General features: G+C 44.8%; 3 protein-coding genes and 1 long non-coding RNA gene across 8 annotated transcripts in view, besides 14 other annotated features; 2 read left to right on the plus strand and 2 right to left on the minus strand.

Moving 5' to 3' along the window:
* ZBTB11 (zinc finger and BTB domain containing 11) overlaps positions 1 to 952 on the minus strand; it is a 28,244-nt gene extending 27,292 nt beyond the window's left edge. Inside the window, exon 1 of the mRNA NM_014415.4 lies at positions 425 to 952. Within this exon, the coding sequence (NP_055230.2) occupies positions 425 to 734 (310 nt within the window). The 5' untranslated portion in view covers positions 735 to 952. The remainder of the gene's footprint in view (positions 1 to 424) is intronic.
* Positions 4 to 373: a silencer, noted in NCBI's record as "silent region_14576". NCBI's record gives its function as "represses an Ori minimal core promoter by ATAC-STARR-seq in GM12878 lymphoblastoid cells {active_cell/tissue: GM12878}" and the evidence as "EXISTENCE:reporter gene assay evidence [ECO:0000049][PMID:35858748]".
* Positions 4 to 644: a biological region, named in NCBI's record as "NANOG-H3K27ac-H3K4me1 hESC enhancer GRCh37_chr3:101395114-101395668".
* Positions 90 to 644: an enhancer, noted in NCBI's record as "NANOG-H3K27ac-H3K4me1 hESC enhancer chr3:101395114-101395668 (GRCh37/hg19 assembly coordinates)". NCBI's record gives its function as "activates a minimal SCP1, AML or CMV promoter by ChIP-STARR-seq in naive H9 embryonic stem cells {active_cell/tissue: H9 hESC(naive)}" and the evidence as "EXISTENCE:reporter gene assay evidence [ECO:0000049][PMID:30033119]".
* On the plus strand, positions 250 to 3,037 carry ZBTB11-AS1 (ZBTB11 antisense RNA 1). Its single transcript, NR_024407.1, has one exon. It is a non-coding gene; the product is annotated as a ZBTB11 antisense RNA 1 (long non-coding RNA).
* On the plus strand, positions 265 to 27,593 carry LOC124906262 (endogenous retrovirus group K member 5 Gag polyprotein). Of its 5 annotated transcripts, none has more exons than XM_047449411.1 (3): positions 265 to 2,058; positions 8,715 to 11,209; positions 16,623 to 27,593. In XM_047449411.1, the coding sequence occupies exons 2-3, from the start codon at positions 11,199 to 11,201 to the stop codon at positions 18,826 to 18,828; spliced, it is 2,217 nt and encodes a 738-aa protein (XP_047305367.1). In that variant the 5' UTR covers positions 265 to 2,058; positions 8,715 to 11,198; the 3' UTR covers positions 18,829 to 27,593. The 5 variants fall into 5 exon arrangements, with proteins under 5 accessions (XP_047305367.1, XP_047305371.1, XP_047305368.1 ...); XM_047449415.1 differs by having other exon boundaries at positions 16,713 to 27,593; XM_047449412.1 differs by having other exon boundaries at positions 265 to 1,937.
* On the minus strand, positions 4,911 to 10,538 carry RPL24 (ribosomal protein L24). The gene is made up of 6 exons (NM_000986.4): positions 10,492 to 10,538; positions 10,302 to 10,377; positions 9,638 to 9,748; positions 6,591 to 6,727; positions 6,249 to 6,312; positions 4,911 to 5,035 (listed from the first exon to the last, which is right to left on the minus strand). Exons 1-6 carry the CDS (start codon positions 10,494 to 10,496, stop codon positions 4,955 to 4,957), a joined length of 474 nt encoding a protein of 157 aa, NP_000977.1. The 5' UTR covers positions 10,497 to 10,538; the 3' UTR covers positions 4,911 to 4,954.
* Positions 8,618 to 8,757: an enhancer, noted in NCBI's record as "active region_20172". NCBI's record gives its function as "activates an Ori minimal core promoter by ATAC-STARR-seq in GM12878 lymphoblastoid cells {active_cell/tissue: GM12878}" and the evidence as "EXISTENCE:reporter gene assay evidence [ECO:0000049][PMID:35858748]".
* Positions 9,935 to 10,124: an enhancer, noted in NCBI's record as "active region_20173". NCBI's record gives its function as "activates an Ori minimal core promoter by ATAC-STARR-seq in GM12878 lymphoblastoid cells {active_cell/tissue: GM12878}" and the evidence as "EXISTENCE:reporter gene assay evidence [ECO:0000049][PMID:35858748]".
* Positions 10,115 to 11,314: an enhancer, noted in NCBI's record as "BRD4-independent group 4 enhancer chr3:101405139-101406338 (GRCh37/hg19 assembly coordinates)". NCBI's record gives its function as "activates an origin of replication core promoter dependent on BRD2, P300/CBP, MED14 and CDK7 cofactors, and independent of BRD4, by STARR-seq in HCT116 cells {active_cell/tissue: HCT116}" and the evidence as "EXISTENCE:reporter gene assay evidence [ECO:0000049][PMID:35650434]".
* Positions 10,285 to 10,774: an enhancer, noted in NCBI's record as "active region_20174". NCBI's record gives its function as "activates an Ori minimal core promoter by ATAC-STARR-seq in GM12878 lymphoblastoid cells {active_cell/tissue: GM12878}" and the evidence as "EXISTENCE:reporter gene assay evidence [ECO:0000049][PMID:35858748]".
* Positions 10,785 to 10,834: an enhancer, noted in NCBI's record as "active region_20175". NCBI's record gives its function as "activates an Ori minimal core promoter by ATAC-STARR-seq in GM12878 lymphoblastoid cells {active_cell/tissue: GM12878}" and the evidence as "EXISTENCE:reporter gene assay evidence [ECO:0000049][PMID:35858748]".
* Positions 11,745 to 12,298: an enhancer, noted in NCBI's record as "H3K27ac-H3K4me1 hESC enhancer chr3:101406769-101407322 (GRCh37/hg19 assembly coordinates)". NCBI's record gives its function as "activates a minimal SCP1, AML or CMV promoter by ChIP-STARR-seq in primed H9 embryonic stem cells {active_cell/tissue: H9 hESC(primed)}" and the evidence as "EXISTENCE:reporter gene assay evidence [ECO:0000049][PMID:30033119]".
* Positions 12,299 to 12,852: an enhancer, noted in NCBI's record as "H3K27ac-H3K4me1 hESC enhancer chr3:101407323-101407876 (GRCh37/hg19 assembly coordinates)". NCBI's record gives its function as "activates a minimal SCP1, AML or CMV promoter by ChIP-STARR-seq in primed H9 embryonic stem cells {active_cell/tissue: H9 hESC(primed)}" and the evidence as "EXISTENCE:reporter gene assay evidence [ECO:0000049][PMID:30033119]".
* Positions 23,319 to 24,078: an enhancer, noted in NCBI's record as "NANOG-H3K27ac hESC enhancer chr3:101418343-101419102 (GRCh37/hg19 assembly coordinates)". NCBI's record gives its function as "activates a minimal SCP1, AML or CMV promoter by ChIP-STARR-seq in naive H9 embryonic stem cells {active_cell/tissue: H9 hESC(naive)}" and the evidence as "EXISTENCE:reporter gene assay evidence [ECO:0000049][PMID:30033119]".
* Positions 24,839 to 25,598: an enhancer, noted in NCBI's record as "H3K27ac hESC enhancer chr3:101419863-101420622 (GRCh37/hg19 assembly coordinates)". NCBI's record gives its function as "activates a minimal SCP1, AML or CMV promoter by ChIP-STARR-seq in naive H9 embryonic stem cells {active_cell/tissue: H9 hESC(naive)}" and the evidence as "EXISTENCE:reporter gene assay evidence [ECO:0000049][PMID:30033119]".
* Positions 25,599 to 26,357: an enhancer, noted in NCBI's record as "H3K27ac hESC enhancer chr3:101420623-101421381 (GRCh37/hg19 assembly coordinates)". NCBI's record gives its function as "activates a minimal SCP1, AML or CMV promoter by ChIP-STARR-seq in naive H9 embryonic stem cells {active_cell/tissue: H9 hESC(naive)}" and the evidence as "EXISTENCE:reporter gene assay evidence [ECO:0000049][PMID:30033119]".
* Positions 26,421 to 27,620: an enhancer, noted in NCBI's record as "P300/CBP strongly-dependent group 1 enhancer chr3:101421445-101422644 (GRCh37/hg19 assembly coordinates)". NCBI's record gives its function as "activates an origin of replication core promoter dependent on BRD2, BRD4, P300/CBP, MED14 and CDK7 cofactors, with strong dependence on P300/CBP, by STARR-seq in HCT116 cells {active_cell/tissue: HCT116}" and the evidence as "EXISTENCE:reporter gene assay evidence [ECO:0000049][PMID:35650434]".

Raw genomic sequence — 27,656 nt, forward strand, 5'->3', positions numbered from 1 at the left:
TCGGGTGACTCGTCCCCCCTTCCAAACGTCAGCACAGTCGAAAACGTGCACCCCGCAGCCTCCACTGCCGCGAGCCACACGCCACCTCCAGAGGGCCGGGGCCTACAGCCTCAAGGGGCCGCCCAAGGAGGCGGACCTGGCGCAGCCCAGGCGTCCGGCCCCTCCCCGCGGCTGGCCCGGCCTCCGGGGAAGCCCCCTTGGTCCCACCCAGGGCCAGGGCCCGCCCCCAGCTTCGCCGGCCTCCTTCCTGTGGGAAGTGCGGCTCCTTTCGCGTCCCCCACCCTCTCGGCTCCGCCTGGCAGCAGCTCCGCCGCCCAGAGGCGTCCGAGACCCTCCGACTCGTGGGTACGCATAGGCCTCGCCAGCGAGCCTTGCCCAGGCAACGAGTCGCCAGCCCGCCCCCTCGCCGCGGGCTAGGTCTCACCTCGCCACCAGTACGTCTTGGACAAGTAGTGCCAGGTCTGATGCCGGGTGTGGTGAGTGCCGCCGGGACCCAGGTGCGCCGCCTCGATGAGGTCCCGGCGTCGCTCCGGCTGCAGCACCACCTCCAGCTCCGCGAAGGTCTTGCGGTGCCGCTGCCGCCGCTGGTAATACAGAGTCCCGCCGCGCACCACGTAGCAGGCGGCAGCTTTTCGGATTTTACGCTTGACATTGCCCTCGGTGCCCGGCGCATACGGCTCGCGCTCGTTCGTCAGGTAACGCAGGATGGCCCGGTAGCTTTCCTCGCTTGACATCGCGGACCGCGGCTCCCTGAGGGCGCCTGTCAGGGACAGGTGAGGAAAACGGCCCGCTACCTACGGGCGGCTGCAGGAGGAGCGGCGGCACCGTAGGGAGAAACGGCTGCGCCTTTGGCGAGCGCTCTTCGACGGCTCCCTTAGTCCGAAGGAAAAGCGGGCGAGTTGGTAACCAGGGGGAACTGCACTTCTCCAGCGCGCGGGATCCGCTGGCGACTGACAAAATGGCTGCTGCACCACCGGAAGTGACGCAAGGCAAGGGCGGGGACTGAGCCCTGATTGGAGCGCACTCTCGTTTTCTGGCTTGATGGAGCCGATCCAGTGACGTCAGGAATGCGGGTGGACATTTTGGAAGCGGGTAGGACCCTTCACTGCAGTTCGAGGGAGTCTTTAAGCAGACATCTTAAGTCCTGGCAGTTTCTCTTTTCATTTTTCCCTTTTCCACGCTTTCTAAGGAGCCACGTGTAGGGGGAGCTGGTGGACAGTTGAGAGTTCAGCCGAAACATCCAGAGGGTTAGGAGTCCGTTTTTACGTTTGAGACTCCCAACATCATAAAAGCATATTTTCAGGCTTCTGGAAAAATATTAGTCTCTTGACACGGGACCAGAGACAGCCCATTTACATGGAAATTTAGATTCCAGTTAACAGTTATAAAATTTTCAGTGCCTCCCTCAGTGATGAGTTATTGTTTCTAAACTTGCACCTGCTAGCTCCAGACTACTCAAGGAAGAGTCGAGATTCTTTTGGAATTATCAGCATTTATAGTCAATGTTATTGCGAGTGGAAAAGGGGGTCGGTAACACTATTTTAAGGCTTTATTTACATATATTTTTACACAAACGTAGGGGAAAAGGTTCTCCATTTTGCACCAAATATATATGAGGGTGCAAGAAGGGGAGCGGACTTGAGCTGCGTCTCCCAGTGCGTGCTGAGGATGCTAATACAGGTATTTAGCTGGTAATCCCGGAGCAGCGACCCCGGTCACCCTTTCCTGGGACGAATCTGCAGCGCTCACAGGGGCCCAGGGCTGACATCCCTCCTCGGGGACTGGGGTTGGACACTGTCGCCGCTTTGCTAAAGCCAGAACATTTCAGGCCGAGGGCTCCAGCTGCAGACACGGCCTAGTACACTTCTCCACCGGAGGGTCTGTAGTCTCTGGGTGAGGCCCTTTGACGCTCCTAGAAGTAGCTGACGGGCAGACAGGTGAATACAGTAGGCTCGAAAACAGAATCATACAGCCAGCCTCTGGTGTTAGGGGCGTGTTTTTGTGTGTGTGCACACGCAGTAATTCCCGGATGGCCCGGACATCCTTGAAAGATTCCAGGTGCGGGGACATGAGCTCTCAAGGCCCAGAAGAAAAAAGAAACTACCAGGCTTGGGATCTACTTAGTTGCTGAGTTTGCCACTATAGCTCAAAGGAGGAATTTAAAAATGGAGATGCACCTCTTTCCCCCATGGGGTCGGGCAGTGAGAGCAGAAGACCAAATGCACCCTCTGCGAACCCAGGAGGCTGGTCTACGTGTCAGGCCAACCCCACTCTCCTGTCATACTGTCTTTAAATATTTTGGCCGGGCGCGGTGACTCACGCCTGTAATCCCAGCACTTTGGGAGGCCGAGGCGGGCAAATCACGAGGTCAGGAGATGGAGACCATCCTGGCTAACATGGTGAAACCCTGTCTCTACTGGGCCTGAAGTCCCAGCTACTCGGGAGGCTGAGGCAGGAGGATCGCTTGAACCCGGGAAGCAGAGGTTGTAGCGAGCCGAGATTGTGCCACTGCATTCCAGCCTGGGTGACAGAGGGAGACTCCGTCTCAAAAAAATAAAAAAACTAAACATTTTAAGTTAATTGATATTTAATATTAAATATTTAATATATTAAGTGAATACATTCAAATCTGCAAACAATACAGCTAGGTTGTAGAAGAGTTAAAAAAATCCCTCCACTCAGTTTTTGCCAAAACACCACCTGTAAGCACTGAGAAGCCTACTGATGCACGCATTATCCTTTGGGCCAATAGAAACAAACGTTTTAATAAAATGCTTTCCCAGTGGTCAAATTGTCTTCCTGAGTAAAGCTAAACTTGCTGTAGTGAGAACAGGTAGTGTTTATTTCTAGCTTCTTCTGGGTCCCAGGTTACCTAAGACCCAAGGGTAATGACAATGGGCAGCTCCACTTTATTAAAAGCCAACATTTAGCCCAGACATTTTATTCTCCAAAAATCAGCAAGCATAGCTTTACATTCAAGTTGGGTATAATGACTTTATTTTCCCAGTAATTCCCTAAATAAAACTATTACAAAAAATGACTCTTCCCAGTGCAAAATCTTAACATTTTGCTTTTATGAGCAAAAGCCTGTATTTTACATATTTTTTTTTTTTGAGACAGAGTCTCGCTGTCGCCCAGTTGGAGTGCAGCGGCGCGATCTCGGCTCACTGCAGGCTCCGTCCCCCGGGGTTCACACCATTCTCCTGCCTCAGCCTCCCAAGTAGCTGGGACTACAGGCGCCCGCCACCACGCCCGGCTAATTTTTTGTATTTTTAGTAGAGACGGGGTTTCACCGTGTTAGCCAGGATGGTCTCGATCTCCTGACCTCATGATCCGCCCACCTCGGCCTCCCAAAGTGCTGGGATTACAGGCGTGAGCCACCGCGCCCGGCCTACATATTTCTTATATTGATTTTAGTTTACATTTTCAGGTTCTCAAAAGGACTTACTCATTTTACCTGTAACACTTGGACGTCTGAATGTAACATGCACTAGAAAAAAAAAAATTCTATCACCTTGGATAGGATAGTGATGGAGGAAAATGTTGACATTGACTATATACTCTCACCTAGTATTCTGTGTAAAATCATGTTTCCCTAAAGAGGACTCTGATTTGTCCAGTTGCATCCTTGCAACTTGGCACAGGTTGGCAGGTAAAAATGACCTTTCTGTAGAAGTAGAAGCCTATTCTTCACATGTAAGTTTTGATTACTATTTTATCACATCTTAAATATATAAATCTCAGGCTGGGCGTGGTGGTGCACGCCTGTAATCCCAGCATTTTGGGAGGCTAAGGCAGGCAGATCACCTGAGGTCGGGAGTTCGAGACCAGCCTGCCCATGAAGAAACCACGCCTCTACTAAAAATACAAAATAAGCCAGGCATGGTGGCACATCCCTGTAATCCCAGCTACTTGGGAGGCTGAGGCAGGAGAATCACTTGAACCCAGGAGGCAGAGGTTGCGGTGAGCAGAGATCGAGCCATTGCACTCCAGCCTGGGCAACAAGAGAGACTATCTCAAAATCTCTTGAGTATCAGTTTATTCAGACATTTTTGTAGTTTAACACAGCTCTGGCATGCCCCCAGCTCAACAAACTACTCCGGGAATTTAGCTAAGGATACTCTTTATTCAAGCAGTAGTGCTTTTCATTTAGATATTACTTTCTGAAAGCAAGAGTAGATTAATACAGCTGAGAGTTTTTAGCACCTTCAACTCAGCTATTAGCAAATGGTAGGTGAGATACCAATGACTACAAGGAAACCAATATAAACTACATTTGCCTATCATGGGAAAAGGTAATTTAACAAGAAAATCATTTAAAAAGTACTTTTGTTTTTTGATACAGGGTCTTGCTGTCACCCAGGCTAGAGTGCAGTGGCACGATTTCAGCTCACTGCAGCCTTGACCTCCCTGGCTCAAGCGATCCTTCCACCTTCCACACTCCCAGCTTCCCAGCTGGGACTATATACACTCTCCACCATGCCTGGCTCACTTTTGAATGTTTTTGTAGAGATGGGGTTTCGCCATGTCACTCAGGCTGGTCTTGAACTCCTGAGCTCAAGTGATCACCTGGCTTTGGTCTTACAAATGCTGGGATTACAGGCGTGAGCCACTGCACCAGCAACATCCTAATACTTACAGCAATGTAACCAAAAAGTTAAGGCAATTAAGTTTTTCTAATGTGCCCTATACACCCCAGCCAAGCCAAGATAGCATCTGACCTTACCCATCTTACATTATTTTGCTTAACCTCTCTCCAACAAAGAAGTTAAAACTTTATAGGATGCATTATTCCTGAGCAATAGACTTTTTAATAAAATACCTACGTCTTACATTCTTTGTTAGGTCACCTATGACCGTGTAAAGTCCAACATGCCTGTTACAAGAAAAAAAAAAAATCCAGCACAACCTAGAGTTATAATCCAATCTTTATTTAAAAATCTAATCTGCCAGTTTAGCGTTTTCCACCAACTCGGGGAGCTGAAACTTTCACAGGCTTCACAATCTTTTGCTTAGGTGCTGCCTTTGTAGGTGCCTGTAAAAAGATAACACAATATTACTCCACAAAACTTTTGTTACCCTATTATTACCCATCTCTCACATCCAGATTGTTTATGTAGCTTAGATCACTTTCTTAGTAATTTAACTGCATTCCTAATGCCAATCTTTTAATGTGACTACCCTTAAATATTTAAAGCCCATCTTTACAATGAAAGACAAAGACTAAGATACCCTCACAGACTGGATGAAATGAGACACAACCAAGTGCAGTGTAGGATCCTGAAATGCATCCTAACAGAAACTCACAGAAAAGATCTCAGTAACAGTACAGTGTTTACTCAGCTTTTCTCAATGTTATCAATGTAGATAACCATAGTAACTTTCAAAACCAGGCATGGTGCAGGGGCTCATCCCAACACTTCGGGGTGCTAAAGCAGGTGGATCGCTTGAGCTCAGGAGTTTGAGGCCAGCCTGGGCAACATGGCGAAACCATCTCAACTAAAATACCTATTAGCTGGGTTTGGTAGTGCTTGCCTGTAGTCCCAGCTACTTAGGGGCCTGAGTCAGGAGGATCACTTGAGCCCAGGAGGTTGAGGCTGCAGCAAGCCGTGATTGTGCCACTGCACTCCAGCTGGGCTACAGAGTGAGGCCCTGTGTTGAAGGGGGAAAAAAACAAACAAACAAACAAACAAAAAGGCCAACCTTTATTTTTCCCAGTTCCTAACAGTAACACATGCTTTGGCTTATGGAGAGGACCACCTCTCTGGAGACCTGAACCATTGGCCAAGTAATTGGTTACAAACATCATTTCCAATTGAGCCTTGCATTCAATACCTTAAAACTGTGAAACTTTCATTTATCACAATTTAGACTGAAAATAAATTTTCCAGCCGGGCTCAGTGGCTCACACTTGTAACCCCAGCACTTTGGGAGGCTGAGGTGGGCAGATCACCTGAGGTCAAGAGTTCAAGACCAGCCTGTCCGACATGGTGAAACCCTGTCTCTACTTAAACAAACAAACAAACAAACAAAAAATCAGCCGGGCGTGATGGCGCGCACCTGTACTCCCAGCTACTCGGGAGGCTGAGGCAGGAGTATCACTTGAACCCGGGAGGCAGAGGTTGCAGTGAGCTGAGATCAGATCACGCCACTGCACCCCATCCTGGGCAACAGAGCAAGACTCCGTCTCAAAAAAAGAAAATTTTCCTGTTGTATTGTTCAAGAAAGTAAAGAAACCCCATAATTACCTTAGCAGCAGCCATTGCAGTCTTTTTAGATGCTTGCTTAGCCTTTTTTGCTTCCTTAGCAGCCCTGTGGGGTAAAAGTAACTTAAGGCAAAAGCACTTTACTCCTTAGTGGTACAACTTATTATTAGAGTTAGACTGTACTGGACAAGTACAATGACCATATTCCTTCCTTCCCTACCTCCATTTATTTGTAGGCTAAATCCAAAGAATTTGTCAATAATTTTCATTAACCACCAAATCAGCTTAACATATATTAATCTATATGGTAACTTTAATTACTGAAGACCCAAACCTAAAATCCATCCGAATAGGTAAAATGCTCATAATGAAAGCATTCCTCACCTGATAGCTTGTTCTCGTTGAGCCTTTCTAACTTCAGGTTTCTGATTCCTCTTGGCCATTATATCAGCAAGAGATGCACCAGTAATGGCCCTCTGGAATTTGACTGCTCGGCGGGTTCTTTTCTTTTGAATTTCTTCCTGCAAAACAAAGATGAGGGGCACACTTAGGAACCTTCCTTCAAGAATTTAGAGGGAGGAAAAATTAAGTCTTTTAAGACAGGGCAAATGAAGTATTTTAAGATTCATATTCAACAAAAAATAATTCATATATTTGAAATAAAACATGTTTTCCCTTATGGATTAAGCCCTCTATTACAAATCCTAGCCATTTTTTTACTACCTTAAAAAGACACACAAAAAATTGAACTCTAAGGAAAATGGTTATTCCATGAACTGCATAGTAGTATAAATGAAGACTGTTTATACTTTTAATAATTTACTTATTGAAAAAAATTATCATATTCAGCTTTTTTAACTCAAAGGACTGTCACTAGGAGAAATAAATTAAGACAATTATTTGACAGGAGAGCCACCAAATGTTAGGTAGGATTTGTCTGAGAAGGTATTGTGGAATCTAACACTTTCTGTAGATTACTGGAAATCTATACTACAGTGTTTATGAGAAAAAGATCTTGCAGTGCACCTTTAAGTCAAGAACAAAGTATATTCGAATAGTTGTTTATTAAGGCACTGACATGCAAAATTACCTTAAAAACTTTTAACAAAAATAAGGCACATTGGTGGTTTACAGACATGCTAATTTTAAACTTTTTAGAAAGATGCAATCTTATTGTTTCTACAGTAAAATGGCAGTTTTTCTACAGTAAATGGCAGTATTTACCTGTTTAATATTCTTGTCTCAAACGAACACTTAAACATTTTTTTTATTGTGGTAAAAATGTAAAGTTGACAATTTTAACCTTTTGGTTTTTCTTTTCTTTTTTTTTTTTTTTTTTAAAGACTCAGCCTTGCTCTGTTGCCCAGGCTGGAGTGCAGTGGCATGATCTTGGCTCACTGCAACCTCCGCCTCCACCTCCGGGGTTCAAGCAATTCTGCCTCAGCCTCCTGAGTAGCTGGGATCACAAGTAACCGCCACCACGCCCGGCTAATTTTTGTATTTTTAGTAGAAACCGGGTTCCACCATGTTGCCCAGGCTGGTCTCTAACGCCTGAGCTCAGGCAATCTGTCCGCCTTGGCCTCCCCAAGTGGTAGAATTACAGGCGTGAGCCACCATCCCCAGCCTGTTTTCTATTTTTTTAAGTAGAAACTGGGGTCTTCACTACTATGTTGCCAGGTTGGTTTCAAACTCCTGGGCTCAAGCTCAAGGGATCCTCTTGCCTGGGCCTCCCAAAGTGCTGGAATTACAGGCGTGAGGCACTGCACTAGGCCCATTTTAACTTTTTTTTTTTTTTTTAAATGGAGCCTCACCCTGTCACCCAGGGTGGAGTGCAGTGGCACAATCCCAGCTCACTGCAACCCCCCACTTCCTGGGTTCAAGCTATTCTCCTGCCTCAGCCTCCCAAGTAGCTGGGACTACAGGCACCTGCCACCATGTCCGGCTAATTTTTTTTTGTATTTTTAGTAGAGACAGGGTTTCACTCTGTGGGCCAGGCTGTTCTTGAACTCCTGACCTGGTGATCCACTCGTTTTGGCCTCCCAAAGTGCTGGGATTACAGGCATGTAAGCCACCATGCCCAGCCTCATTTTAACTTTTTAAATTATAATTTAGCTATGCAGGATGGCTCGCGCCTGTAATGCCAGTACTTTGGGTGGCCAAGGCAGGAGGATTACTTGAGCCCAAGAATCTGAGACGAAATTGGGCAACATCGCAAAGATTTCTGTCTCCTCAAAATATATTTAAAAAATAGCTGGGCCATGGTGGCATGTGCCTGTGGACCACGGGGTAGGCGGAGGTGGGAGGATCACTTGAGCCCATAAGGTTGAGGTGGAGTGAGCTGTGATCCTGCCACTGCTCTCCAGCCTGAGCAACAGAGGACCTGTCTCCCCAAAAAAAAAAAAAAAAAAAAAAAAAAAAAAAAAAAAAGGTATAGTGGCCTTATGTACATTCATAGCGCTGTGTAGCTATCACCATTATCCATCTAAATAACTTTTTTTTTTTTTAAAGGTCTCCTATGTTGCCTCAAACAATCCTCCCACCTTGGCCTCCGGAGGAGCTAGAGTACAGCCGCTGCCACCAAGCCCGGATTTGCTATGACACTGATATACAAGTTATAGAGTCCCTGCTTTCAACTGTTTTAGGGTATAACTTAGAAGTGGAACTGCTGGGATAATTTTTATGTTTACCCTTTTGAGAAAACACCAAATGATTTTTCACAGCTGTTGCATATTTAGCAATGCACAAAGGTTCCAATTTCTCCCCATCCTCACCAACACCTGTAATTCCTGTTTTTTTTTTTCCTGAATAGTCACCCTAATAGGTGTGTCATATCCACTTTTAAGTTTCTCCTTCCTCTGAACTTTCAACATATTTTATGTCTGATGGCATTTATTTCTCACAATACCTAGAAAAGTCCTTCATCCAGAAGGTGTTCAGTAAGTATTCCCAAGCCTCCTGAATACTAGTCCTACCATGGCACTCAAACTTTTTCTCATGTATAACCCAGCTAAAAGGACACTTAACAAGGACCAGAAAAACCACTGTTTTTCTAGTGAATGAACTAGTGTATGGTGGACTGGTTCATGGTCCACTGGCTATGTTAGGACTAATCCTGTAAATATTGCAATCAAAACCAAATTATGGTAACTTCTCAATTTCCTCCCACTGGAAAACTAAGCCCTTCCACCCTGCCCTATAACGCAAAGGTGCTTAACGTAATTTATCTGACTTTAAAATTTCAACTCGGTATTGCTACTAGCCTAAAATATATAGAGACAGTTTATAATATCTTTTTCATTTTGCTGACGCTTTACAGTTTAAGAGCTCTTTCGCATACAGTCTGATTTAATTTTACAGAGCAGAAAACCAACGTTCAGAGAGCTTTGACAACTTAAGAGATAGCCCCCAACATCAAGGCGTATTCCACTTACCGACTGTCCCTTTTTGTGCTTCCTTCTGTAGAGGACAGTCCAGTTTATCTGCCGAGGATTCCTCTTGGAAAGGAAAGCCGACTCGCATTTCGCATTAAGAAACTGGAAAACCTAGAGTGACAAATGCAAAGGAATTACTATTTAACTATACAAAGTACAAGAGGCTGAGTAAGCTTGGAATCCTTAGAAGATCAATATGCTAGTTCTGGCTTATCATTTTACAAAACTGAGGCCCACAAGGACCAAAAGGCTGTCACATAACTGGCAGGTAACTGTGTCACACTATGAAGGTCCTTGCGTTTAGTCTTTTCTCGAGAGCAGGAAATCTAGGCTCATAGCAAAGGACAGGGTGGTGCGTCCTTCTGGGAAGCATTCTGCTCTTGTCCGTCCCAGGATTCCAAAGGGTACCTCCGTACCTCAGTTATTTCCCTTACACCGGGACATCAGTTACATAAACCCCTCCTGATGTCCGACCTGGCTCACAATAAATAATCAACACTGGTTCACTTAGAGGTTTCTGGTCCTAACGACCAGTCCACAGAGCGTCCACGAAGACTTCCAGAGGCCAGTGGTGATGTGGGGAATAAACCCGCCTAAACCGAATTAAACCAGCCTTTCCTCCTCGGAGTACAAGAAGGTAGGTGAAGCCGACGCGGCTTTTTACCTTCCCGTCGGTCCTGGCGTAGCGCCTCCCGTGTCCGGGGTAGATCTTGTACCCGCTAAAACTGCACAGCTCGACCCTGCAACAAAAAGTGAAAGTCCATCAGGGAGGGTGTCTACAGCCATGCCAGGGACGACAGAGAGGAGTTCTGCCCGAGGATGTAAGCGGATTGGGAACCACGGGTCGTGCTTACTTCATGGCGACAGCTCCACGGAAAGACAAAAGATGGCGAAAAGAAAGAGAGAATCATGGGAAGAGACCTTATAAGGTCGCTGCGGGGATGGGGGCCGGAAATCTCCTCCCCAATATCCTTCGATGCTCCTGGCCCTCCTTGATGACGTAATCATCGCGAGGCGAAAGATCTCGTTTTCCCTGACAGCTGACTTCCTCTGGCGCAATTCATCCAGAGGCGCTGGAGGGTTCTCGGGCCCAGAGGGCCTGCCAAAAAGGCAGTCAGACAGTTGGTTTATGAGTCATTCTGTCTCTGTCTCTCCTCTCTTTTTTTTTTTTGAGACGGAGTTTCGCTCTTGTTGCCCAGGCTGGAGTGCAGTGGCGCAATCTCGGCTCACCGTAACCTCCGCCTCCCAGGTTCAAGCGATTCTCCTGCCTCAGCCTCCCTAGTAGCTGGGATTACAGGCATGTGCCACCACGTCCGGCTAATTTTGTATTTTTCGTAGAGACGGGGTTTCTCCATGTTGGTCAGGCTGGTCTCGAACTCCTGACCTCAGGTGGTCCGCCCTCCTCGGCCTCCCAAAGTGTTGGGATTATAGGCGGGAGCCACTGCGCCCGGCCCATTCTGCCTCTCTTACTGCCAAGTATCCTAGAGCCATCTTCCGGCTGCAGGGAATGTGAACTGAAGAGAAAGGTGTCCTCTCTTCTCATAAAGAGACCCAAAGACGAATGCCCCGCAGGTAAAACCAGTCACATTTTGCCTTCCCTGTTGGCCCATTTCCTCAACCAAACAAATTAATAGTTTCACCATTTATAAGAAAGTAATGACAACCGAACCGTTTCTCAGGCTGTGCGAATCGAACAGTGCGCGTTGGCGCTTTGCATTAATTATAATTAACATTCTTTGAGCGCTTTCTCTGTGCCGGGAATTATGCCAAAGGCTTTTTAAACATGAGCTCATTCAGTTTCCAAAATTCCTATTAAGTACCTGCCTAAGAACTACAATTCGGAGTTGCTGCCTAGTGAAGTTGAGGGGGTCGGTGGAGCCCCGCTGGGAGGCCAAGGGCTCAATCTGTTGAGCCCTTCTATGATGCTACATATTTCATCGTATGACAAGGAGTGGCCAGAGGCAATTCTTGAATTCTGTGGGAGGTTGCAGTATATGACTAGGAAACAAATGTAATGACTGAGTTCTGCTTTCTATGTATGCAACTCACCCTAAAAACGTTTTGTAAGGTAGCTGGTTGAAGATATTTGGAATGTCTAACAAGTTGGCTGACTAATGTCATGAAAACTGTACAATTGTGTTGGAGCCAGTCTTTTTTTTTTTTTTTTTTCCTTGAGACGGAGTTTCGCTCTTTCATTCAGGCTGGAGTGAAGTGGCGCGGTCTCGGCTCACTGCAACCTCCGCCCTCTGGGTTCAAACGATTGATTCTCCTGCCTCAGCCTCCCGAGTAGCTGGGATTACAGGCGCCTGCCACCACGCTCGGCTAATTTTTGTATTTTTAGTAGAGATGGGGTTTCACCATGTTGTCCAGGCTGGTCCCAAACTCTTGACCTCAGGTGATCCACTCGTTCTCCCAAAGTGCTAGGATTACAGGCGTGAGCCACCGCGCCGGGCCTGGAACCAGTCTTAAGAATGATGTTAGGTGGCCAGTCATGGCGGCTCATGCCTGTAATTACGGCACTTTGGGAGGCCGAGGTGGGCGGATCACCTGAGGTTAGGAGTTCCAGCCCAGCCTGGTCAAAATGGTGAAACCCCTTCTCTACTAAAAATACAAAAATTAGCTGGGCGTGGTGGCGCACGCCTGTAATCCCAGCTCCTCGGGAGGCTGCGGGAGGAGAATCGCTTGAACCCGGGAGGCAGAGGTTGCATTTAGCCAAGATCGCGCCACTACACTCCAGCCTGGGCAAGAAGAGCAAAACTCCATATCAAAAAAAAAAAAAAAAAGGAGGCCGGGTGCAGCGGCTCACGTCTGTAATCCCGGCACTGTGGAATGCCGAGGCGGGCGGATCACGAGGTCAGGAGTTTGAGACCAGCCTGGGTAACACGATGAAACCCCGCCTCTACAAAAAAAAAAAAAAATTAGCCTGGTGTGGTGGTGCGCGCCTGTAGTCCCACCTACTCGGGAGGCTGAGGCAGGAAAATCGCTTGAACCCGGGAAGCGGAGGTTGCAGAGAGCCAAGATCGCACCACTGCACTCCAGCCTGGGCGACAGAGCGAGACTCCGTGTGAAAACAAACAAACAACAACAACAAAAAACCAAAACAAAACATCTTTCAGAAATAGTCCTGGCTTCTACAAGATCCAAGGCACAGCTGAGTTTAGGTAGCCGGTGGAACCAAGATCCACCTGAAGGAATGCAGTCCTTTTTTGTTCCACAGAACCTCAGAATTTATAGTCCCTTCCCAATATTTTAGAAAGATTTTGTTTTATTGTTCTTTAAAATTACGTTTGGCCTGACTGGTTCTGTGGAAGAAATGCAGGAAACTGGACCTTAGGGATTTTGGCTGTATTTCACTCTTTACTGGAGGGCCTTCTTGTCAGGGTTCCTTGTAACACACTCCCATAACAAACAAATTGTGCTCAAAATGCTCTTAGAATAGGGAGAAATTTTGCAGAGAGAGACCTCTAAATGAATTTATATTATACAGTGTCATAAAGTAGAGCTTCTGACACCATCCGTAAATTATTGCTGACTTTATCCATGCTTTTGCTTTTATCATAGGCAAAAGGTTCAGCTACACTCTATTCTCTTTTTATTCATTTATGGAGCAATACTGAACCAAACTTGGTGCCCTTTTCAGCCTCTGTCCCTGTGAGAACAGTGTGTTGCTTCCCTTCACAGTTTCGTCACCCATTTGTACATATTTCCCTGCTATATTAGTTTCCTGTAGTTGCTGTAACAAATTACTATGGACTTGGTAACAACACAGATACATATTTTCTCACAGTTCTGGAGGCAGTAAGTTCAAAATCAGTATCACTAGGCTGAAATCAAGGTATCTTTGTGCTCTCTGGATCAAGGATCTAAGGCAGAACGTGTTCCTTGCTCTTCCAATTTCCACTCATCTAAACCACTCTTGAATTCCTAACCCATAGAAACTGTTAGATCATAAATGTGTGTTGTTTTAAACTGTTTAGGGGAGTAATTTGTTAATATAGAAATAGGTAATATAGGAGGTAAGGAAAAATTGACAATGAGGACTTGGTGAATCGTGGTATCATTTGTCAAGAGTTGACAGATAAGAGGAAGGGAGTAGGTTTGTCAGGGAAAGGGTTAATTTTTTTTTTTTGGAGACTTGTTGCCCAGGCTGGAGTACAATGGCATGATCTTGGCTCACCACAACTTCCGCCTCCTGGGTTCAAGTGATTTTGCTGCCTCAGCCTCCCGAGTAGCTGGGATTACAGGCATGTGCCACCACACCCAGCTAATTTTGTATTTTTAGTAGAGATGGGATTTCTCCATATTGGTCAGGCTGGTCTCGAACTCCTGACCTCAGGTGATCCACCCGCCTCGGCCTCCCAAAGTGCTGGGATTATAGGCATGAACCGCTGCGCTCAGCCCGAAAGGGTTAATTTTGAAAAGGCTGGGTTCAAGATGCTGATAGGGATATTAAGGTACAACTGTGTAGTGGGAAGTTAAACATGTTCAGAAGAGTGTTTGTAATATGATTTATTTTATGTTTTAATTTTTTTTTGAGATAGGGCCTCACCTTGTCTCCCAGGCTGAAGTGCAGTGGATGATCAGGGTTCACTGCAGTCCCTACCTCCTGGGCTCAAGTGATCATCCCACCTCAGCCCCATGAATAGCTGGGACTATAGGTGTTTGCCACCATGGCCAGCTAATTTTTTGTATTTTTGGTGGAGATGGGGTTTCACCATGTTGCCTTGGCAGGTCTTGAACTGGACTCAAGCGAGCAGCCCACCTCAGCCTTCCAAAGTGCTGGGATCACAAGCGTGAGCCACCATGTCCAGCCAAGGATATATTTTAGTAGTAATGAACTTATGGTGACAGAATATGTGGGATAACGTCACCTACTGTCACAAGCTGGCTTCTCTGGAAACAGTTACTGAGACTGACTTTGGGGTTCAAGATATTTGTTACAGATCAAGTCTTGTGAAGGGAAGGGGGAGAAAACAGTGTTAGGCAGAGGAAGAAGTTGCATATGTTATAGGCCCAACTAAACCTCAGTCAGGCCGTGTGTGGTGGCTTATGCCTGTAATGCCAGCACTTTGGGAGGCCAAGGTGGGAGGATTGCTTGAGCACAGGAGTTTGAGGCTGAAGTGAGCTATGATCGCACCACTGCAATCAATCAATCAATAAACTTCAGTCAACCCTGCCAGGAGCTATGGAACAATTATTGTTTGTTGGAGTGTTCTGTGTTGGGCTAAATGTGAAGCCTCTTTATACTTCTACCTTACTCAGTCACCATATGGGGGCTGCCCCAGAGAGGTCATGACCTCAAGTGAGGAAGTACTCAGCAGCTGAGCCAGGCCCTACTGATAGCTGGAGGATGCTGCTGCCCATGCTGCCCACTGTGAGGCAGCAAGCCCTTGCTTGAAGGGGGATCTGGATAGTATGTTTCTGTGTCTACCACCCCTAGAAATGGTGCCTAGAGTGAGTCATCACAAAAAGAATCAGGATAGCTTGGTGTAGTGGCAGGTGCCTATAATCCCAGCTACTCAGGAGACTGTGGCAGGAGAATGACTTAAACCAGGGAGTTGGAGGTTGCAGTGAGGTGAGGTCACACAACTGCACTCCAGACTGGGTGACAGAGTGAGACTCCATCTCAAAAAAAAAAAAAAAAGAAAAGAAAAGAAAAAAGAAAAAGAATCAGGAAATACTAATATTTAAAGGATAGGTGAATGGAGGAAAATAATCAATTGAAGGAGGCTGAGCAGATGAGGTCAAAGAAGATAGAGATCCATAACAGTAACCTCATAGAAGCTTATGGAAGCATTTTGACAGTGCTAAAAGCCACATAAAGTTCAAGTAAGACAGTTTCAGAAATGTATAAACATGAATGCCTTTGCAGTGACTTAAGTGTGATTCTGTTGTTTCCTTCTAAAAATACTGCCTTCTCAGGTGTGGGAAGGATTCTATCTTTTTAGGCTTTACCACCATAGTTCTCTGCAGGCTTGCAATCCTGAATCAGGCTTGACTTCAGAAAGTGCTTTAAAAGGGAGGCTGGGCGCGGTGGCTCATGCCTGTAATCCCAGCACTCTGAGAGGCTGAGGTTGTGGGGAAAAGCAAGAGAGATCAGATTGTTACTGTGTCTGTGTAGAAAGAAGTAGACATAGGAGACTCCATTTTGTTCTGTACTAAGAAAAATTCTTCTGCCTTGAGATTCTGTTAATCTATGACCTTACCCCCAACCCCGTGCTCTCTGAAACAGGTGCTGTGTCAAACTCAGGGTTAAATGGATTAAGGGTTGTGCAAGATGTGCTTTGTTAAACAAATGCTTGAAGGCAGCATGGTCCTTAAGAGTCATCACCACTCCCTAATCTCAAGTACCCAGGGACACAAACACTGCGGAAGGCCGCAGAGACCTCTGCCTAGGAAAGCAAGGTATTGTCCAAGGTTTCTCCCCATGTGATAGTCTGAAATATGGCCTCGTGGGAAGGGAAAGACCTGACCGTCCCCCAGCCTGACACCCGTAAAGGGTCTGTGCTGAGGAGGATTAGTGTAAGAGGAAGGCATGCCTCTTGCAGTTGAGACAAGAGGAAGGCATCTGTCTCCTGCCCGTCCCTGGGCAATGGAATGTCTCGGTATAAAACCCGATTGATTGTACGTTCCATCTACTGAGATAGGAAGAAAACGCCTTAGGGCTGGAGGTGTGGGACAAGCCGGCAGCAATACTGCTTTGTAAAGCATTGAGATGTTTATGTGTATGCATATCTAAAAGCACAGCACTTGATTCTTTACCTTGTCTGTGATGCAAAGACCTTTGTTCACGTGTTTGTCTGCTGACCCTCTCCCCACTATTGTCTTGTGACCATGACACATCCCCCTCTCAGAGAAACACCCACGAATGATCAATAAATACTAAGGGAACTCAGAGACGGCGCGGATCCTCCATATGCTGAACGCTGGTTCCCTGGGTCCCCTTATTTCTTTCTCTATACTTTGTGTCTTTTTCTTTTCCAAGTCTCTCGTTCCACCTTACGAGAAACACCCACAGGTGTGGAGGGGCAACCCACCCCTTCATCTGGTGCCCAACGTGGAGGCTTTTCTCTAGGGTGAAGGTACGCTCGAGCGTGGTCATTGAGGACAAGTTGACGAGAGATCCCGAGTACATCTACAGTCAGCCTTGCGGTAAGCTTGTGCGCTCGGAAGAAGCTAGGGTGATAATGGGGCAAACTAAAAGTAAAACTAAAAGTAAATATGCCTCTTATCTCAGCTTTATTAAAATTCTTTTAAAAAGAGGGGGAGTTAGAGTATCTACAAAAAATCTAATCAAGCTATTTCAAATAATAGAACAATTTTGCCCATGGTTTCCAGAACAAGGAACTTTAGATCTAAAAGATTGGAAAAGAATTGGCGAGGAACTAAAACAAGCAGGTAGAAAGGGTAATATCATTCCACTTACAGTATGGAATGATTGGGCCATTATTAAAGCAGCTTTAGAACCATTTCAAACAAAAGAAGATAGCGTTTCAGTTTCTGATGCCCCTGGAAGCTGTGTAATAGATTGTAATGAAAAGACAGGGAGAAAATCCCAGAAAGAAACAGAAAGTTTACATTGCGAATATGTAACAGAGCCAGTAATGGCTCAGTCAACGCAAAATGTTGACTATAATCAATTACAGGGGGTGATATATCCTGAAACGTTAAAATTAGAAGGAAAAGGTCCAGAATTAGTGGGGCCATCAGAGTCTAAACCACGAGGGCCAAGTCCTCTTCCAGCAGGTCAGGTGCCCGTAACATTACAACCTCAAACGCAGGTTAAAGAAAATAAGACCCAACCGCCAGTAGCTTATCAATACTGGCCGCCGGCTGAACTTCAGTATCTGCCACCCCCAGAAAGTCAGTATGGATATCCAGGAATGCCCCCAGCACTACAGGGCAGGGCGCCATATCCTCAGCCGCCCACTGTGAGACTTAATCCTACAGCATCACGTAGTGGACAAGGTGGTACACTGCACGCAGTCATTGATGAAGCCAGAAAACAGGGAGATCTTGAGGCATGGCGGTTCCTGGTAATTTTACAACTGGTACAGGCCGGGGAAGAGACTCAAGTAGGAGCGCCTGCCCGAGCTGAGACTAGATGTGAACCTTTCACCATGAAAATGTTAAAAGATATAAAGGAAGGAGTTAAACAATATGGATCCAACTCCCCTTATATAAGAACATTATTAGATTCCATTGCTCATGGAAATAGACTTACTCCTTATGACTGGGAAAGTTTGGCCAAATCTTCCCTTTCATCCTCTCAGTATCTACAGTTTAAAACCTGGTGGATTGATGGAGTACAAGAACAGGTACGAAAAAATCAGGCTACTAAGCCCACTGTTAATATAGACGCAGACCAATTGTTAGGAACAGGTCCAAATTGGAGCACCATTAACCAACAATCAGTGATGCAGAATGAGGCTATTGAACAAGTAAGGGCTATTTGCCTCAGGGCCTGGGGAAAAATTCAGGACCCAGGAACAGCTTTCCCTATTAATTCAATTAGACAAGGCTCTAAAGAGCCATATCCTGACTTTGTGGCAAGATTACAAGATGCTGCTCAAAAGTCTATTACAGATGACAATGCCCGAAAAGTTATTGTAGAATTAATGGCCTATGAAAATGCAAATCCAGAATGTCAGTCGGCCATAAAGCCATTAAAAGGAAAAGTTCCAGCAGGAGTTGATGTAATTACAGAATATGTGAAGGCTTGTGATGGGATTGGAGGAGCTATGCATAAGGCAATGCTAATGGCTCAAGCAATGAGGGGGCTCACTCTAGGAGGACAAGTTAGAACATTTGGGAAAAAATGTTATAATTGTGGTCAAATCGGTCATCTGAAAAGGAGTTGCCCAGTCTTAAATAAACAGAATATAATAAATCAAGCTATTACAGCAAAAAATAAAAAGCCATCTGGCCTGTGTCCAAAATGTGGAAAAGGAAAACATTGGGCCAATCAATGTCATTCTAAATTTGATAAAGATGGGCAACCATTGTCGGGAAACAGGAAGAGGGGCCAGCCTCAGGCCCCCCAACAAACTGGGGCATTCCCAGTTCAACTGTTTGTTCCTCAGGGTTTTCAAGGACAACAACCCCTACAGAAAATACCACCACTTCAGGGAGTCAGCCAATTACAACAATCCAACAGCTGTCCCGCGCCACAGCAGGCAGCGCCACAGTAGATTTATGTTCCACCCAAATGGTCTCTTTACTCCCTGGAGAGCCCCCACAAAAGATTCCTAGAGGGGTATATGGCCCGCTGCCAGAAGGGAGGGTAGGCCTTATTTTAGGGTGATCAAGTCTAAATTTGAAGGGAGTCCAAATTCATACTGGGGTAATTTATTCAGATTATAAAGGGGGAATTCAGTTAGTGATCAGCTCCACTGTTCCCTGGAGTGCCAATCCAGGTGATAGAATTGCTCAATTACTGCTTTTGCCTTATGTTAAAATTGGGGAAAACAAAACGGAAAGAACAGGAGGGTTTGGAAGTACCAACCCTGCAGGAAAAGCCACTTATTGGGCTAATCAGGTCTCAGAGGATAGACCCGTGTGTACAGTCACTATTCAGGGAAAGAGTTTGAAGGATTAGTGGATACCCAGGCTGATGTTTCTATCATCGGCATAGGCACCGCCTCAGAAGTGTATCAGAGTGCCATGATTTTACATTGTCTAGGATCTGATAATCAAGAAAGTACGGTTCAGCCTATGATCACTTCTATTCCAATCAATTTATGGGGCCGAGACTTGTTACAACAATGGCATGCAGAGATTACTATCCCAGCCTCCCTATACAGCCCCAGGAATCAAAAAATCATGACTAAAATGGGATAGCTCCCTAAAAAGGGACTAGGAAAGAATGAAGATGGCATTAAAGTCCCAACTGAGGCTGAAAAAAATCAAAAAAAGAAAAGGAATAGGGCATCCTTTTTAGAAGCGGTCACTGTAGAGCCTCCAAAACCCATTCCATTAATTTGGGGGGAAAAAAAAAAACTGTATGGTAAATCAGTAGCCGCTTCCAAAACAAAAACTGGAGGCTTTACACTTATTAGCAAAGAAACAGTTAGAAAAAGGACATATTGAGCCTTCATTTTCGCCTTGGAATTCTCCTGTTTGTAATTCAGAAAAAATCCGGCAGATGGCGTATGCTAACTGACTTAAGAGCCATTAATGCCATAATTCAACCCATGGGGGCTCTCCCATCCCGGTTGCCCTCTCCAGCCATGGTCCCCTTTAATTATAATTGATCTGAAGGATTGCTTTTTTACCATTCCTCTGGCAAAAGAGGATTTTGAAAAATTTGCTTTTACTATACCAGCCTAAATAATAAAGAACCAGCCACCAGGTTTCAGTGGAAAGTATTGCCTCAGGGAATGCTTAATAATTCAACTATTTGTCAGACTTTCATAGCTCAAGCTCTGCAACCAGTTAGAGACAAGTTTTCAGACTGTTATATCGTTCATTATGTTGATATTTTGTGTGCTGCAGAAACGAGAGACAAATTAATTGACCGTTACACATTTCTCAGACAGAGGTTGCCAACGCGGGACTGACAATAGCATCTGATAAGATTCAAACCTCTCCTCCTTTCCATTACTTGGGAATGCAGGTAGAGGAAAGGAAAATTAAACCACAAAAAATAGAAATAAGAAAAGACACATTAAAAACATTAAATGAGTTTCAAAAGTTGGTAGGAGATACTAATTGGATTCGGAGATATTAATTGGATTTGGCCAACTCTAGGCATTCCTACTTATGCCATGTCAATTTTGTTCTCTTTCTTAAGAGGGGACTTGGAATTAAATAGTGAAAGAATGTTACCTCCAGAGGCAACTAAAGAAATTAAATTAATTGAAGAAAAAAATTCGGTCAGCACAAGTAAATAGGATCACTTGGCCCCACTCCAAATTTTGATTTTTGGTACTGCACATTCTCTAACAGCCATCATTGTTCAAAACACAGATCTTGTGGATTGGTCCTTCCTTCCTCATAGTACAATTAAGACTTTTACATTGTACTTGGATCAAATGGCTACATTAATTGGTCAGGGAAGATTACGAATAATAACATTGTGTGGAAATGACCCAGATAAAATCACTGTTCCTTTCAACAAGCAACAAGTTAGACAAGCCTTTATCAGTTCTGGTGCATGGCAGATTGGTCTTGCTAATTTTCTGGGAATTATTGATAATCATTACCCAAAAACAAAAATCTTCCAGTTCTTAAAATTGACTACTTGGATTCTACCTAAAATTACCAGACGTGAACCTTTAGAAAATGCTCTAACAGTATTTACTGATGGTTCCAGCAATGGAAAAGCGGCTTACACAGGGCCGAAAGAACGAGTAATCAAAACTCCGTATCAATCAGCTCAAAGAGCAGAGTTGGTTGCAGTCATTACAGTGTTACAAGATTTTGACCAACCTATCAATATTATATCAGATTCTGCATATGTAGTACAGGCTACAAGGGATGTTGAGACAGCTCTAATTAAATATAGCACGGACGATCATTTAAACCAGCTATTCAATTTATTACAACAAACTGTAAGAAAAAGAAATTTCCCATTTTATATTACTCATATTCGAGCACACACTAATTTACCAGGGCCTTTGACTAAAGCAAATGAACAAGCTGACTTACTGGTATCATCTGCATTCATAAAAGCACAAGAACTTCTTGCTTTGACTCATGTAAATGCAGCAGGATTAAAAAACAAATTTGATGTCACATGGAAACAGGCAAAAGATATTGTACAACATTGCACCCAGTGTCAAGTCTTACACCTGTCCACTCAAGAGGCAGGAGTTAATCCCAGAGGTCTGTGTCCTAATGCGTTATGGCAAATGGATGGCACGCATGTTCCTTCATTTGGAAGATTATCATATGTTCATGTAACAGTTGATACTTATTCACATTTCATATGGGCAACTTGCCAAACAGGAGAAAGTACTTCCCATGTTAAAAAACATTTATTATCTTGTTTTGCTGTAATGGGAGTTCCAGAAAAAATCAAAACTGACAATGGACCAGGATATTGTAGTAAAGCTTTCCAAAAATTCTTAAGTCAGTGGAAAATTTCACATACAACAGGAATTCCTTATAATTCCCAAGGACAGGCCATAGTTGAAAGAACTAATAGAACACTCAAAACTCAATTAGTTAAACAAAAAGAAGGGGGAGACAGTAAGGAGTGTACCACTCCTCAGATGCAACTTAATCTAGCACTCTATACTTTAAATTTTTTAAACATTTATAGAAATCAGACTACTACTTCTGCAAAACAACATCTTACTGGTAAAAAGCACAGCCCACATGAAGGAAAACTAATTTGGTGGAAAGATAATAAAAATAAGACATGGGAAATAGGGAAGGTGATAACGTGGGGGAGAGGTTTTGCTTGTGTTTCACCAGGAGAAAATCAGCTTCCTGTTTGGATACCCACTAGACATTTGAAGTTCTACAATGAACCCATCGGAGATGCAAAGAAAAGGGCCTCCACAGAGATGGTAACCCCAGTCACATGGATGGATAATCCTATAGAAGTATATGTTAATGATAGTGTATGGGTACCTGGCCCCACAGATGATCGCTGCCCTGCCAAACCTGAGGAAGAAGGGATGATGATAAATATTTCCATTGTGTATCGTTATCCTCCTATTTGCCTAGGGAGAGCACCAGGATGTTTAATGCCTGCAGTCCAAAATTGGTTGGTAGAAGTACCTACTGTCAGTCCTAACAGTAGATTCACTTATCACATGGTAAGCGGGATGTCACTCAGGCCACGGGTAAATTATTTACAAGACTTTTCTTATCAAAGATCATTAAAATTTAGACCTAAAGGGAAACCTTGCCCCAAGGAAATTCCCAAAGAATCAAAAAATACAGAAGTTTTAGTTTGGGAAGAATGTGTGGCCAATAGTGCGGTGATATTACAAAACAATGAATTCGGAACTATTATAGATTGGGCACCTCGAGGTCAATTCTACCACAATTGCTCAGGACAAACTCAGTCGTGTCCAAGTGCACAAGTGAGTCCAGCTGTTGATAGCGACTTAACAGAAAGTCTAGACAAACATAAGCATAAAAAATTACAGTCTTTCTACCCTTGGGAATGGGGAGAAAAAGGAATCTCTACCCCAAGACCAGAAATAATAAGTCCTGTTTCTGGTCCTGAACATCCAGAATTATGGAGGCTTTGGCCTGACACCACATTAGAATTTGGTCTGGAAATCAAACTTTAGAAACAAGAGATCGTAAGCCATTTTATACTATCGACCTAAATTCCAGTCTAACGGTTCCTTTACAAAGTTGCGTAAAGCCCTCTTATATGCTAGTTGTAGGAAATATAGTTATTAAACCAGACTCCCAAACTATAACCTGTGAAAATTGTAGATTGTTTACTTGCATTGATTCAACTTTTAATTGGCGGCACCGTATTCTGCTGGTGAGAGCAAGAGAGGGCGTGTGGATCTCTGTGTCCGTGGACTGACCGTGGGAGGCCTCGCCATCCATCCATATTTTGACTGAAGTATTAAAAGGCATTTTAAATAGATCCAAAAGATTCATTTTTACCTTAATTGCAGTGATTATGGGATTAATTGCAGTCACAGCTACGGCTGCTGTGGCAGGAGTTGCATTGCACTCTTCTGTTCAGTCGGTAAACTTTGTTAATGATTGGCAAAAGAATTCTACAAGATTGTGGAATTCACAATCTAGTATTGATCAAAAATTGGCAAATCAAATTAATGATCTTAGACAAACTGTCATTTGGATGGGAGACAGACTCATGAGCTTAGAACATTGTTTCCAGTTACAGTGTGACTGGAATACGTCAGATTTTTGTATTACACCCCAAATTTATAATGAGTCTGAGCATCACTGGGACATGGTTAGACGCCATCTACAGGGAAGAGAAGATAATCTCACTTTAGACATTTCCAAATTAAAATAACAAATTTTCGAAGCATCAAAAGCCCATTTAAATTTGATGCCAGGAACTGAGGCAATTGCAGGAGTTGCTGATGGCCTCGCAAATCTTAACCCTGTCACTTGGGTTAAGACCATCGGAAGTACTATGATTATAAATCTCATATTAATCCTTGTGTGCCTGTTTTGTCTGTTGTTAGTCTGCAGGTGTACCCAACAGCTCCGAAGAGACAGCGACCATCGAGAACGGGCCATGATGACGATGGCGGTTTTGTCGAAAAGAAAAGGGGGAAATGTGGGGAAAAGCAAGAGAGATCAGATTGTTACTGTGTCTGTGTAGAAAGAAGTAGACATAGGAGACTCCATTTTGTTCTGTACTAAGAAAAATTCTTCTGCCTTGAGATTCTGTTAATCTATGACCTTACCCCCAACCCCGTGCTCTCTGAAACAGGTGCTGTGTCAAACTCAGGGTTAAATGGATTAAGGGTTGTGCAAGATGTGCTTTGTTAAACAAATGCTTGAAGGCAGCATGCTCCTTAAGAGTCATCACCACTCCCTAATCTCAAGTACCCAGGGACACAAAAACTGCGGAAGGCCGCAGGGACCTCTGCCTAGGAAAGCCAGGTATTGTCCAAGGTTTCTCCCCATGTGATAGTCTGAAATATGGCCTCATGGGAAGGGAAAGACCTGACCGTCCCCCAGCCCGACACCCGTAAAGGGTCTGTGCTGAGGAGGATTAGTATAAGAGGAAGGCATTCCTCTTGCAGTTGAGACAAGAGGAAGGCATCTGTCTCCTGCCCGTCCCTGGGCAATGGAATGTCTCGGTATAAAACCCGATTGTACGTTCCATCTACTGAGATAGGAAGAAAACGCCTTAGGGCTGGAGGTGGGACATGCAGGCAGCAATACTGCTTTGTAAAGCATTGAGATGTTTATGTGTATGCATATCTAAAAGCACAGCACTTGATTCTTTACCTTGTCTATGATGCAAAGACCTTTGTTCACGTGTTTGTCTGCTGACCCTCTCCCCACTATTGTCTTGTGACCATGACACATCCCCCTCTCAGAGAAACACCCACGAATGATCAATAAATACTAAGGGAACTCAGAGACGGCGCGGATCCTCCATATGCTGAACGCTGGTTCCCTGGGTCCCCTTATTTCTTTCTCTATACTTTGTCTCTGTGTCTTTTTCTTTTCCAAGTCTCTCATTCCACCTTAAGAGAAACACTCACAGGTGTGGAGGGGCAACCCATCCCTTCAGAGGTGGGTGGATCACCTGAGGTCAGGAGTTCAAGACAAGCCTGGCCAACATGGTGAAACCCCATCTCTACTAAAAATACAAAATTAGCCAGGTGTGGTGGCAGGTGTCTGTAGTCCCAGCTACTTGGGAGGCTGACGAGAATCGCTTGAACCTGGGAGGGGGAGGTTTCAGTGAGCCGAGATTGCACCACTGCACTCCAGCCTGGGGGACAGAGTGAAACTCTGTCTCAAAAAAACAACAAAAAACCCCACCTATAGACAGGACTAGCTACATAAATAACTTGCAGGGCTCAGTGTAAAATGAAAGTGTGAGGTCCCTTTTTCAAAGACGTAGAAGGCCGGGTGCGGTGGCTCATGCCTGTAATCCCAGCACTTTGGGAGGCTGAGGCAGGCAGGTTATGAGGTCAGGAGTTCGAGACAGCCTGACCAATATGGTGAAACCCCATCTCTACTAAAAATACAAAAATTAGCTGGGTGTGGTAGCGGGCGCCTGTAGTCCCAGCTACTCAGGAGGCTGAGGCAGAAGAATTACTTGAACCCAGGAGACGGAGGTTGCAGTGAGCTGAGATCGTGCCACTGCACTCTCCAGCCTCCTCGGTGACAGAGCGAGACTCTGTCTCAAAAAAAAAAAAAAAAACAGAAAAAGGTGCTATTAAAGATACCAAAATATAAGGCACTTTCCTTTATTCTGCAATCTGTCTCTCCACTTTTCATAGTATTTTTTCATTTGTTATTTAACATCATGTTTTGTCAGGTGAGGACATTTACTCAGCCAGTGCAGCACTCACTGGTATCCAGGGGCCATAGGTGATTTGACGCACCCACATGGCCCACCAGCTGTTGAGTTCCACCTCCAGCCAGCCACTGGACCAACATGCAGTGCCCTGGCTGGGGGCAGGAAAGTCTAACAAACCATTTCATTCCACTGTCCTCCTGGCCAAACCCACAGAGGACAGGTAAACCCCCTTGTATGTGTTTTGTACTTGGATCTGGGGTGGGCATCAAGTCACTTGCAGAATGTATGATGGTGCTGCCAGCTTGGGGGAAGGAGGAGGGCAGCAGTAGTATTGGAGGGGAGGGGAAAGATAGGCCATTGTCAGGGAACTGCAGACTCAGCCCGTGGAGGCAGCTGGGGAAGCAGCAGAAAGCGGTACTGCACGTTAGCTGAGACACCAAGCCCTAGGCACATGCTCTATTATTCTCTTGTACTACTTCACTGATAAAACACAAAATTAAAGATAGAATTAGACTTTCAAGACAGCAACAGCAGAAAATTAAACCCCAAGTATGGGACCCTCCTTAGCACAGTGCCGTATGCAACTGCACTGGTCACACAACTTGAAGCTGGCTCTGCCTTTAGATTACAAGAAATTTGGGCAGGGTGTGGCAGTTCATGCCTGTAATCCCAGCACTTTGGGAGGACAAAGCCAGAGGATAGCTTGAGGCCAGGAATTTGAGACCAGACTGGTCAACCTAGAGAGACTCTGTTTCTACAAAATCTAAAAAAAAAATTAGCTGGGCATGGTGGTGCATGCCTGCAGTCTCAGCTACTTGGGAGGCTGAGGTGGGAGGATCGCTTGATCTCAGGAGTTTGAGGCTGCAGTGACACGTGATTGTACCACTGCACTCCAGCCTGGGTGACAGAGCAAGATCCTGTCTCAGAAAAAAAAAAGAAAAAATTTTAGTGACTTTGTTAACCAGTTACAATGTATGGATTTCATTTAAGCCCTGCTTAAATGGACCTGGGGTAATTAGAGTACTTATTGGATTTTTGTTATTAAGATTTACTGTTAATTTTTTAGGTTTTATGATTGTACTGTGGTTATTTTTTAGTTATTTTTTCAAAGTACATACTAAATATATTTACAGATGAAAGAACATGTCTGAGTCAGGCATGATGGCTCACGCTTGTAATGTCAGCACTTTGGGAGGCTGAGGTGGCTGGATCACTTCAGGTCAGGAGTCTGAGACCAGCCTGACCAACATGGTGAATCCCTGTCTCTACTAAAAAAATACAAAATCAGCCAGGTGTGATGGTGCATATCTGTAATCCCAGCTACTTGGGAGGCTGGGGCAGGAGAATTGCTTGAACCCAGGAAGTGGAAGTTGCAGTGAGCCGTGATCACGCCATTGTACTCCAGCCTGGGCAACAAGAGAAATTCTGTCTCAAAAAAAAAAAAAAGAAATAACATATTTAAGATTTGCTTTAAAATAATCTGAAGGCAGAGTTAGTGGGTGTGATAATTAATATTAGATATCAAATTGATTGGATTGACAGATGCCTAGATGCTGAATCATTGTTTCTAGGTGTGTCTGTGAGGGTGTTTCCGGAGGAGATTTACTTGTGAGTCAGTGGACTGAGAGGGAAGGACTCACCCTGAAGGTGGACAGGCACCATGCAATCAGCTGGCCCAACTAGGACAAAGCAGGCAGAAGAAGGGGGATACTCAGCTCATACTGCTTTATTTCTCTTGCTCCCTTCTCGAGTGGGATGCCATCTTTCTTCTGCCCTTGCACATCATACTCCAGGTTCTTTGGGTTTTGGACTCTGGAACTTGCACCAGCAGCCTCTCGGGGATTCTCAGGCCTTCAGCCACAGGTTGGGGACTACGCTTTTGTCTTTCCTAGTTCTAAGGCTTTTGGACTGGAATGAAGCCACCAGCTTTTCTGGTTCTCCAGTTTGTGGACACCCTGTTAGTGAGACTTCTTCACCTTTGTGATTGTGTAAGCCAATTCCGCCTAATAAAATCTCTATCTATCTATCTATCTATCTATCTATCTATCTATCTATCTATCTATCTCCTATTGGTTCTGTCCTGAA

This window comes from Homo sapiens, chromosome 3 (genome assembly GCF_000001405.40).
Source record: "Homo sapiens chromosome 3, GRCh38.p14 Primary Assembly".
In the NCBI taxonomy this organism is placed as follows: Eukaryota; Metazoa; Chordata; class Mammalia; order Primates; family Hominidae; genus Homo; species Homo sapiens.

What these genes read in the sequence shown, in the direction of transcription:
- RPL24 (NM_000986.4), bottom strand. An exon ending in AGCACAAAAAGGGACAGTCG is followed by an intron (nt 6,728 to 9,637) that starts GTAAGTGGAATA and finishes TTTGTTTTGCAG; the next exon opens with GAAGAAATTCAAAAGAAAAG. An exon ending in CAACGAGAACAAGCTATCAG is followed by an intron (nt 6,313 to 6,590) that starts GTGAGGAATGCT and finishes TTTACCCCACAG; the next exon opens with GGCTGCTAAGGAAGCAAAAA.